Source organism: Homo sapiens, chromosome 5 (assembly GCF_000001405.40).
Source record: "Homo sapiens chromosome 5, GRCh38.p14 Primary Assembly".
Classification (NCBI taxonomy): Eukaryota; Metazoa; Chordata; class Mammalia; order Primates; family Hominidae; genus Homo; species Homo sapiens.
Window position 1 is genome coordinate 40,661,548 of NC_000005.10, and position 13,072 is coordinate 40,674,619.

A 13,072-nucleotide genomic window follows, 5' to 3' on the forward strand; every position below is an offset into this window, starting at 1 on the left:
GCATGACACTTCTTGCCTTTCAAGTTAATAACCCTCAGTGTTGATGACTGCTGAACTGAAATGGACATTCTCAGATGCACTGCTTTTGGGAAATATAAACTGATATATAAGCCTTTTGGAAAGCAGTTTGACAATCAATAGCTGTCCAAAGCTCTGAAAACAGTCATAACTGTTGACCTAGTAATTTTGTTCTCAGAATCTATCTCAAAGAAATAATCTTCACTATGGGAAAGTCCTATTCCCAACATCAAAAAACATAAACCCACCTAAATAATCACAATAGGGTAATTATTAAGTGGGTTGTAGTATATCTACATCATAATTTGTATACATTGATGGTAAAGCTAAAAAGCAAAGCAAAGAAATGATTGATAAAAAAATTCTCTATGCATCTGGGGAAGAGCACAAACGCACTCCCACATATGTAGTAATATTCTATTTAAGCTGAGTGGTGCATACACAGGTATTCCTATTATTATGATTATTTAAACTATATATATATTTTATATACTAACAAGTGTGAATATATATTTTATAATATATAAGTTTTGGTAAAATTCAGAACAATTAATGTTTACTAAAAGTTTGTCAACATGAAAAATGCTCATGTCATGCTCACTGCAGCAGCATATACAGTAAAATTGGAATGAAAAATGGTCATATCATAATTGTGAGTAAAAAACTGGGGCACCATCAATGGATAGACTGGGTAAAGAAAATGTGGCACAAATACACCATGGAATACTATGCCCCCATAAAAAAGGATGAGTTCATGTCTTTTGCAGGGACATGGATGGAGCTGGAGGCCATCATTCTCAGCAAACTAACACAGGAACAGAAAACCAAGTACCACATGTACTCACTCATAAGTGGGAGCTGAACAATGAGAACACATGGACACAGGGAAGGGAACATCACACACCAGGGCCTGTTGGGGGTGGGGGGTGCCAAGGGGAAGGAGAGCATTAGGACAAATACCAAATGCATGTGGGGCTTAAAACCTAGATGATGGGTTGATAGGTGCAGCAAACCACAATGGCACATGTATACCTATGTAACAAACCTGCACATTCTGCACATGTATCCCAGAACTTAAAGGAAAGTAAAATAAAAATAAAAACTGGGGCACTATGCCTATGTCCTGAACAGTAGTGCCTAGGTTTTCTTCTAGGGTTTTTATGGTTTTAGGTCTAACGTTTAAGTCTTTAATCCATCTTGAATTTATTTTTGTATAAGGTGTAAGGAAGGGATCCAGTTTCAGCTTTCTACATATGGCTAGCCAGTTTTCCCAGCACCATTTATTAAATAGGGAATCCTTTCCCCATTGCTTGTTTTTCTCAGGTTTGTCAAAGATCAGATAGTTGTAGATATGCGGCGTTATTTCTGAGGGCTCTGTTCTGTTCCATTGATCTGTATCTCTGTTTTGGTACCAGTATCATGCTGTTTTGGTTACTGTAGCCTTGTAGTATAGTTTGAAGTCAGGTAGCGTGATGCCTCCAGCTTTGTTCTTTTGGCTTAGGATTGACTTGGCAATGTGGGCTCTTTTTTGGTTCCACATGAACTTTAAAGTAGTTTTTTCCAATTCTGTGAAGAAAGTCATTGGTAGCTTTATGGGGATGGCATTGAATCTATAAATTACCTTGGGCAGTATGGCCATTTTCACGATATTGATTCTTCCTACCCATGAGCATGGAATGTTCTTCCATTTGTTTGTATCCTCTTCTATTTCATTGAGCAGTGGTTTGTAGTTCTCCTTGAAGAGGTCCTTCACATCCCTTATAAGTTGGATTCCTAAGTATTTTATTCTCTTTGAAGCAATCGTGAATGGGAGTTCACTCATGATTTGGCTCTCTGTTTGTCTGTTATTGGTGTATAAGAATGCTTGTGATTTTAGTACATTGATTTTGTATCCTGAGACTTTGCTGAAGTTGCTTATCAGCTTGGACTTCATGTCTAAAACACCAAAAGCAATGGCCACAAAAGCCAAAATTGACAAACGGGATCTAACTAAACTAAAGAGCTTCTGCACAGCAAAAGAAACTACCATCAGAGTGAACAGGCAACCTACAAAATGGGAGAAAATTTTCACAACCTACTCATCTGACAAAGGGCTAATATCCAGAATCTACAATGAACTCAAACAAATTTACAAGAAAAAAACAAACAACCCCATCAACAAGTGGGCAAAGGATATGAACAGACATTTCTCAAAAGAAGACATTTACGCAGCCAAAAGACACATGAAAAAATGCTCATCATCACTGGCCATCAGAGAAATGCAAATCAAAACCACAATGAGATACCATCTCACACCAGTTAGAATGGCAATCATTAAAAAGTCAGGAAACAACGGGTGCTGGAGAGGATGTGGAGAAATAGGAACACTTTTACACTGTTGGTGGGACTGTAAACTAGTTCAACCATTGTGGAAGTCAGTGTGGCGATTCCTCAGGGATCTAGAACTAGAAATACCATTTGACCCAGCCATCCCATTACTGGGTATATACCCAAAGGACTATAAATCATGCTGCTATAAAGACACATGTACACGTATGTTTATTGTGGCAATATTCACAATAGCAAAGACTTGGAACCAACTCAAATGTCCAACAACGATAGACTGGATTAAGCAAATGTGGCACATATACACCATGGAATACTATGCAGCCATAAAAAATGATGAGTTCATGTCCTTTGTAGGGACATGGATGAAATTGGAAATCATCATTTTCAGTAAACTATCGCAAGGACAAAAAACCAAACACCGCATGTTCTCACTCATAGATGGGAATTGAACAATGAGAACACATGGACACAGGAAGGGGAACATCACACTCTGGGGACTGTTGTGGGGTGGGGGTAGGGGGCAAGGATAGCATTAGGAGATATACCTAATGCTAAATGACGAGTTAATGGGTGCAGCACACCAGCATGGCACATGTATACGTGTGTAACTAACCGGCACATTGTGCACATGTACCCTAAAACTTAAAGTATAATAATAATAAAAAAAAACTAGGGCACTAAATTAGTTATAAATTATAGCACACAGATCTTGTAAAAGGAGGTTGGAATAGTCTTACAAAGACACTCATTTCAACTATGACTTAACGTTGTGCTGAGGATCCCAGTCAAGAATTCCTCTCATAAAAACAAAAGAAAGGACCCACTTAAACTGATATTCTTTTTTTATAATTGTGTACCTAGAACATTCAACACAATCAACTGACAATATACCAACACTATCAAGAGTTTAGTAATCTGACCAAGAACTGTCCTAGATGCCAAAAGAGATGACAGCTAACAGTTTTTGAGGGCTATGTACCAGGCACTGAATAAGGTGTTTTTCACGTATTAACTCCTGAGGGAAGCTGCTATTATTATCCTGACTTTTAAATTTAAAAACTCCTAAGAAACAGAGAGGTTAAATTACTTGTGTGATGCCACACAGCTAGCAAGTGACAGAGTTTGGCAGTCTTTGCACATAACCATTACATTACCCCAACAATAAGCAGTTAGAAAATGTAATAAGTAGCCAGGCGAGGTGGCTTATGCCTATAATCCCAGCACTTTGGGAGGCCAAGGCAGGCAGGTCACTTGAGGCCAAGGGTTTGAGACCAGCCTGAGCAACATGGCAAAACCTTGTCTCTACTAAAAAAAATAAAAAATTAGCCAGGCACGGTGGCACATGCCTGTAATCCCAGCTACTTGGGAGGCTGAGAATCACTTGAACCTGGGAGGCGGAGGTTGCAGTGAGCCGAGACTGCGCCACTGCACTCCAGCCTGGGCAACAGAACGAGACTATGTCTCAAAAAAGAAAAGAAAATGCAGTAGATCACAGGATCCCCTTCATAATACAATCAAGAACCACTCAAACAAACAAACAAAAAACACACACTAGGGAAAATGATTTTAAGAGATATATTTTTAAATATTTAAAGCAAGACCAAATTGCAATACTCAAAATTATATTACATGGATGTGAATTCTCCAAAACAACAAAAAAAACTTTGGGGATGGGGTGTGCAAAGGAAGCCTTGCCCTCCAGATAGTCTCATCTTTTGGCCATTTGTCACTTAGGAAATTCTCTGGAGATGGAACTGTGCATGGTGCTCCGGTCATACAAAGATAGCTAAAATTCAGGAATCTGGTTAAGCTACTTTGAGAAAAGGTCTTGCAAAAGAGAAAGGATTAATCAGGAACCCCAAATAATGAATGGTAGGCCATGAAATGAAGGGTTCTGCCACAGCTGTCATCAATGTGACAGCCTGCGGTGGATGAGCAGATCATATCACCACTGTAGCCTTCCACTTACATCAAAGTTGTTGAGCTGAATTCAACATATGCTCCAATCCAACTCTCCTTATTTATAGACAAGGAAACTGAGGTCTAGAACAGGCTTCCCTTCCTAGCTCACAAAATTATTTTAAGGCAGAACCAGAGAGCTAACTAAGCACTCCTCTTCCCCAAGTTTCCTGAAGACCAGTCTGAATATATGTATCCAAATGACTGCACCCATTTAAGCACACTGTATTGAATTTATATTTATAGGCTAAGTCAGCGTTTTCCAACCTTCAGACATTCACCTTCCAGCTTATAATTCTGTCATATTCATATATCTCTACTATTACTCACTTTATATATTTTTTAAATCTATATACTTCTTTACATAAAGTTAGCTTCATCCTAAGCAACAATATTAATAAAATGATACATGAAATGTGTATTTTTCTAACACATTAAGACAAATATGTATCTATTGAAGTTTCAGTGTTTGCATTTGAACCACTCCTCAGAAAAGTAAACCATCCTTTGCTGTATTTGAAAAGATTCTCTCCAGGTGTTCCAAGGAATTCTAATCTGTTTCATGTTAATGGGTGTTATTGATGAAAGAGTGCTTGATCAAATAAATCTGGGGAATGCTACGTTTTTTGTTTGTTTGTCTGTTTGTTTAGAAACAAGGTCTTGCTCTGTCGCCTAGTCTGGAGCGCAGTGTTGTGATCATAGCTCACTGCAGCCTCAAACTGCTGGGCTCAAGTGATCCTCCTGCCTCAGCCTCCCAAGTAGCTGAGACTACAAGCGCATGCCACCATACTGGGCTAATTTTTCTTTTACTTTTTGTAGAAATAGGGTCTTGCTTTGTGGCCCAAGCTAATCTCAAACTCCTGACTTCAAGAGATCCTCCCACCTTGGCCTCCCAAAGTGTTGGGATTACAGGTGTACAGGCATGAGCCACCACAACCCAGAATATTTCTCTGATTATTTAAAAACTCAGAGGTAGGGCATGAAAAAAATGTTCCCTAGTGTGAAACACAGGGTGTTCACAACATTGTGCAATGAGATTCTTCTAACAGGTATAGCACTTATAAGACTTATTTGACCATGAAACCTTTTTTTCTAGACAGTATTAGTAAGGATAACACGTTCTAAGCTGTATTAATTTTCAGAGATTTTGTTTTTCTTTTTGACCCCATAAATGATATAAGTAGATACTGTGTATAATAATTTACACTATATCCCTATTAGCATATTCAGAATATTTTATGGTAGAAAAAAAATGAGTAGAAAAGCATAATATTTCCTCTTGTCATTTTTAAAGTGTCAGCCTCTTGGAGAAAAGTGACACACCTTGTTCAGAATGAAACATCTGCATTAAACTTGGGAATTCTAAAATAATACAAATAAATTTTAATAAGTTATCCAGATAGCCTACATTAGTAAGGCTTTCCATTCATGTTTGTTTTTGTTGTCTTGGGGACTTCTAAACTTCTAGGTGGAACTTTAAGAGTGACATGCCCATAATATCACATTTAATCTGTGGGTGTGACTGGGAGACAATGTATTACTCACCCATTTACAACCCATTAGTTTCCTCTTTCTTTCTCTCTTTTTCTCTCTTTCTCCCTCTCTCTTCCTTTCCTTTCTCCCTTCCCTTCCTCCTTTCCCTTTTCTTTCTCCCTTTCTCTCTTCTCTTTCTTCAATGTTTTGATATAAAAAACTGAAAAGGATATTTATTGCATTTCTATCTTTAAGTATATTTGTGTTATCACAGGAAAAACATCTCATAGTTAACAAACTAATGCTTTAAAGCCAAAATATATGAATATTTCTGTCTAGTGCACTTTTAGTTAAAATTAAGAACTAAGATTCAAGGCAAAGAAATGCTGTAATACTCTTGATTCAGTATTCATGTTAGTGAAACTAAGTACAGTAGTACACTAATAAGGGAGGAAGAATAGTGATGTGTTAAGGACAAAGTGTTTTATCATCCGGCCATACACCAATTTACAGACCATCTCAAGTATGCTACTCTTAAATACTTTTTTTTCCAGCAACCAAAGTTTCAATATATTCTTTTCTACACCTTACAAAAATTATCAAATTTTAGAGCAGATTTTTATTCTTAGAAATGCTTTTTATTCTCTAATTCACAAATATTTATTAATTAAAAAGTTGTGTTCTTCTGAGATTCCTCACCAATCCATGGGGTCAGTTAGATATTTGGGGAGTTGTTCAGCTCTTACAAATACCCACATTTGACACTAATGCACTGCAACAGAATAACCTGAGTAAGCTTGATTCTCTGAAATAGTCAGAGGAACAGAAAAAACAACTATTAGGTACTAGGCTTAGTACCTAGGTGCCGAAATAATCTGTAAAACAAGACCCCGTGACACGAGTTTACCTATATAACAAACCTATGCATGTACCCTTCAACCTAAAAGTTTAAAAAAATAGAGTTTTCTCTCCTCTCTGGTTATAGAGTCAATTGTGCACTGCACTGCATTTATAATGAGGAAATAAACAGCATAGTCTTTTAGTACGGGAGGTAAACAAGAGTTAACTTGTATAAATGTAATTTAAAATGTGTATTCTACTTAATACATGAGAACTATTAAAATACATGTGCATCAAAAACAAAAGAAAAAATAGAAATAATAAATGTCTGATCCTTCAGCAGAATATTTCCCAAAGAGCTCTATTATGTAGCAAACTTCTATGCCATAAGTTTTAAATGATTCCATTTTTCAAATATTCATTTCTGTGTATATTTAAACATCATAGAGTGTCTACTGAATAGAGTTAAGTTTTAATAATTGCAATTCATCTTTTTTAAAAATAATTTACTCTCCATTTGGCTTCTAAAATTTTATTGCAGTATTTAGAAGATTTAGTTAGTTTCTAATAGCTGAAAACCTTCAGACTTCAATGTCACAGTTTGACCCAAATGCACATGGTTCCTGCCCTCTTCAGTTTGTGTCCTGCTGCTTCCAAATGACAAATGTGGGCACTTTGTGTAAAGGCATTGATTACACTGTTAGATAGATTCTAGACATGCTTATTAAAAAGGCATCTTTTATAGGTGAATATGCCTTGCAGGATCTTGTATCCTAGGTGAGGTTATTTTCATAGTTACATATTTAATGATAATAATAACTTGCATCTATGCCACTTTCATATTCTCTTGGCACCAAGTTTGCCTTCCAAAGCAAACTTTGACTAAAGATCTTCAGGGCTCATCCTTAGTTGCATAGGCAAAGAAGTTCTCATACATACAACCATCACACATTTGCAAAACCACCATTTATTAGGGTCTCTTAGAATGAATTCTGTACACATCTATGCTAAAGATGGAAAAGACGTTTCACTTCTTATGCATCAGTAGATGGGTAGTGGGGCCCTCAGAGGAAGCAGTGGGGTTGTTGATCAGCAATACCTACAATGTGTTTAGGAAGAAGGGGAGGGGCAGATGATGTATTGCTCCCTATCCCCATTTGTCATCCCTGAGTTAAAACTTTCTCTCCCATAGCCATTTCCACCCCATCTCCCACAAAAAAAAAAAAAAAAAAAAAAAAAAAATGCACCTAAAGAATGCAGATTTTCTTACTGACTTTACATCCTGATAGAGCAATAGATGATAAAGCTCGTGTTCTTATGGAGCCTAAAAAAGTCTCATAGTATATATACTACTGCCTGTTAGTGCTGAAACCATGAATAAGCATGTGTGAGCTGTTTAGTGATAAAAAGAGAGCAGAGATTTGGGCTATTAGAGGTGATCCTGGCAGTGACATCTGTTGACAGAACTGGGAAGTTAGATTACACCAATAAAAACTGACAGCATAAGGAAAGGGGACCTTCAGGAAGTTACTTTGCCTGATCTTCCACTCATCACACTAGACCACCTCCCTGTAGCTGGGTAGTTAGGCAACCACTCTCTTGTCCTCCTTCCTTCTTTCAAAAGCCCAGTTCATTCCTCTGCAAAATGGAACAATCATGCGTGGAGGTTTACCATAGGCTTAACTAAGATAAATATTAAGGGCTTAGTACAATCCTTGGCAGATAGTTTGCACTTGTTCTGTGTTTTTTCATGATATTGACACAACTGTTCACTTCATCACTATGTACAGGCTCAACCTAAGCAGGAAAGTTGATTTCCGCATGTGTTTGGGAACAGAATAAGCCAAGGCTTCACAAGGAAATATTTAAACATTTAAACGTCATAGAAATTATTACCAATCCCCTTGGCAGTTGCTGCAATGGTAAGTTAACCCCACATGAAATAGAAAATTAAAATAAGTAGCTATAAGATTAAATCAGAAATACTGTGAAACATTTTCTGCTTCCTGTTTCTGGTACCCGCTTCCTGAGGGCACAGGGATGGGCGGTAGGTGGCTAGACTGAATATACCATTATTATTCAGGGAAGTTTCACCTTTATTCCTTTATTGAAATGGGGTGGCTTTTGTTCTTTCGTGTTTTAAGGAATGGGGTGAGGAGTTTAGGAATGGGACAGTATAACTCAGTGGTCAGTAACATACACACTCTGCCATAGCACTTATGAGTTTGTGACCTTAGAAAAATTACTTAACTTCTCTCCATCTCAGTATCCTCATTTGTAAAACAGGCGGAGAAATTCACTAAAAGCCTTTTCACATTGCCTGGTACGTGGTGAGTGCTTAATCATGTTAGCTACTGAAGTTGGTAAACAGTGAGAAATGAAGGAAAGAATGGAAAGAGAGAAAAAAGAAATAGGAGAAGGGAAAGAAGGAGTAAAGCTCTGCTTGGCTTAGCTCTGCAAATCATTTTGGACAGGTGTCTAGAGTCCTGGTTGTCTACATTCCCGGGTTTGCTGATTCAGGGCTCAATACATGACTGCTATTCTAAGGCAGAATGGTGGGGCCACCACTGTCATAGAGCACTTTCTTAAGGAAAGGGCTGTATGAAAAGGAAGTTCCCCATGTCAGGTGCAGTAGCTTATGCCTGTAGTCCCAACATTTTGGGAGGGCAAAGTGGGAGGATAGTTTGAGTCTACAAGTTTAAGATCAGCCTTGGCAACATAGTGAGACCTCGTCTCTACAAATAATAAAAAAAAAATTTAATTAAAAAAAAGGAAGCTCCCAAGAGTGACCCTTGAAATGAATTCTAGGAAAGCTTTTATCATTATCATGGATGGAAAGGAAAATGAGATGTTAGCATCTGCCCCAAGCTTAAAATGTCACCACAATTAACACGGTAGCTCGTTGACACTGGCTCTGCAAAGGAAATTATTCCCCCAAGCCTCTAAAAGCAAACAAGCACCCCCTCACCCTGCAACCATTACACAGAAATCTAGGAATTACCTGGACAGAACTGAACACTTTCTGATAAATATGGTTTTCATAAAGCTACAGAAATCTCAGGTATTTCTCTCCAAAAGTGAATGTGCTTGTTCAAATTTGTAAAAGGTAGACTTGATCCTCTAACCCTTTTGTACAAATCTCATCTCATAAAAACAGGAAGAAAGTCAAATGCAAAAATATGTTTTGTCAAATTCCAAAGAGAGTAACCTCACCCTGAAAAAAATGCCAAGGGAAAATGTTTAAGATACATAAGTAAAATACTCATGGAAGAACTGACTGCTATCGAAATTTAAGTTGAACACAGTTCAATTCGTTTCAGAGTAAATCACATTTTAGGCAATGTACCGCCTTCGTATTTTTTCAAATCCCTGCAGCAGTGATGGGATATGATCAGAGACTAAGACATATCATTAAGATAGCAAGATAATTTTGAGAAGTGTATGCTGTTCTTTCAGCCACCAAAATTTCACAAATTTATGAGTTCTTAACAACTGACACTTTTACATTAATTCAGGATTGAGAGAAAAAAGTCTACATTTGATTTCTCAGCCCTCAAATTAGATGTCTTCAACAGGCACTTCTATTTGGTTAGATTAAACAAGTTAATCTTTCTACAGATCTGCTTTAGGCAAATTTTATGGCTCTTTTAACATACGATCAATAATTTTCTAGAAAAACATAGTCAAAATAATTTGGCATCAGAAAAACTTATAGTAACAAACATGCTATTCATATGAAAAATCAAATCTCCTTTCTTGTTACATCACTGTAGCTTTTAAAAAGAAAAAAATGCATAAGTTGGCTGGGCGGGGTGGCTTGTGCCTGTAATCCCAGCACTTTGGGAGGCTGAGGCGGGTGGATCACGAGGTCAGGAAATTGAGACTATCCCGGCCAACATGGTGAAACCTTGTCTCTACTAAAAACACAAAAATTAGCCGGGCGTGGTGGTGTGTGCCTGTAATCCTAGCTACTTGGGAGCCTGAGGCAGGAGAATTGCTTGAACCCGGGAGGTGAAGGTTGCAGTGAGCCAAGATTCCACCACTGCACTCCAGCCTGGGTGACAGAGTGAGATTCTGTCTCAAAAAACAAAACAACAACAACAACAAAAAAAAAAAAAACAGCCCATCTAATTCATTTATTTCGAAGGAGCTGACTTTCCTCAGACTTTCATACCTTCAGATCTTCTTAAACTGCAGCAGAGTTTTAACTCTTGAGTTTCCTCTGTGATCTGAACCCATTAACCTGGAAGGCAAGGAGCACACCAGGCCTAAAACTAATTCTTGGCTTGAGTTTCAACAGATGGTGAAGTTAGTATTATCGTCAGAAAACAACCCTACTTCATCTCTCCTCCCCACCAGTTATGAGATTTGGACTTCTGTTGCAGGAGTTCACTATGCAACACGGTTAAGTGACAGATTCTCTTGAGTCATGAGTTCCTCTTTTCAAACTTGAACAGTTTCCCATATTTCAAAGCTCCTCACTCAGACATATTCAGTTCCTAGTTTCCTCAAGATGCACTCTCTGAATTCCCAGAAACGTTCTGTGCTCCAGTTCTTGGCCTGAAGGATCTCAACCGTCTTCTCTGAGGCATCAGACAGAGTAGATATGAGGCCTGGAGCCAGAAAGTGCTTACTGCTTCCTGTTCTTAGGTTGGAAAAGAATCTGTTCTTGTTAACAAGAGAGGTATTTTGAAGAGAAACAAACAATACCCTTCTTCAGAATGTGCCACTTCCTCAGAATGTCCATTCCTAATCTCAAATCTAAAGGAAATCTGTCCTGTTCTTTTCTTTCATGGTATTGATCAGAGTGTTTAAATGTATATTTGTGTGTGTTTATTTGTACATTTGATGTCCGTTTCCCTTTCTGGACTGAAAGCTTTCCCCTATTGCACGGTAAGCTATATGAGGGCAGGGACTGTTTATTTTATTCAATGAGCAAACTCAGAGGCTAGCACAGAGTTATACGCAGTTGACTCTCCATAAACATTTGTTGAATGGATGAATGAATGGAAAGATGAAAGGCAGAAATTTCTGTGGTTGGCCAGTTCAAGCACAATGAGTATACCAGGCAAATGCCCCCTGCTCACTAGAGAATGAAAACATCACGCTTCTCTGTGTTCTAGGTCAACTGGAGAGAACTATGTCTGAAAATGCATGAGGAACATGTTTATTGGTGGGGTGAGGGCAGTGACATGTGCCCATGCCTCTTCAGGTTAGGTGTGTATCTACATGTATATAGGTATTATAGGCAAAGAGATTGTTGTGAGACTAGCTGCAAAATGGAACTTGTATGGAACACAAAGATCCAAGGGGTTAATTTCTTGAATGTTCATGCCACTCTTGCTGTGCCAAGGATTGTGCTAGAGCACTAGCAGTCTTTTCAGGACAGGGTCCCAGATGTGCCCAAGATGAGCTGATGCCAGGGAAATGGACTCCATAGCTATAGTCTCTGACAGGGCAACCTGAGTCCTTTGTCAAAGAGCAGCTTCCTTCCTGAACACATCTTTGCTTACAAAGACACTTGTTCTTTTTCTTTCCACTTTAACTGAAAAAGTCCCCCTCTCAACTCTCCCTCCCACCCCACCCCCTTAATGCCACCATATCCATTCCTTGTTTCCAGGCAAATTCGCATTCATCTCTCCAAATAAATGTGCCTCTGTTTTTCTTACAGACATCTCAAAATAAAAAATTAGCAACATATTCTAGGAGAAAACCAGATGAATTCTGTGTCTGGGGTAAAATTCACTAATTTTCCTCTGTAATAGCTACACTGTAATTACATAGTCAATACTAAATGTGCCCCTAAGCAATCATCTTACTGAATTTATGCAGTATAAGCAGGCAACAGAAATCATCTCACTGAAAGTAATTCTTTCCTTCTCATCAAAAGGAAGGGAGGGGTTGTCTAAGTTATCTAACTAATTATCTTAATTCCTTCTTTGTGGTTATGTCCACAACCAGTCTTTGGATTTCTGGGGTTAGGCCCAGGCAAAAATAAGTTCCATCAAAGTTATATATATTCAATTTATCACAATGCCCTCTAAACACGTTATGGTCAAAAACTAATTATACAATCATAAGAAGTGAATTTTGAAAATATAACTAATAATAGGCTAATATTTTTAATGTTTTAATACGTACTAGACATCTTATTTGTATTACGTTACTTAACCTTTAAAAGGACCCATTTAATGAAAACTCCCTTTTACTAAGCCTTAGGCAACTTACTTACTATGGCCTTGAACCCAGATTATCTCTAGCCCAAAGGCAATGATGTTGAGGGAGAAAAAAGAGGACTAAGAGTTATGTGGCTCAAGGTCTAGTTTGGGTTAAGATACATAGAGGTTAGGGGTACAGGTTTGGGGATCAAAGAGACCTAGATTAAAATCTTTGCTCTGCCATTTATCAGAACTGTGATCTTAGAGAGTTTACTCAATTTCTCTGTCCTAGGTAG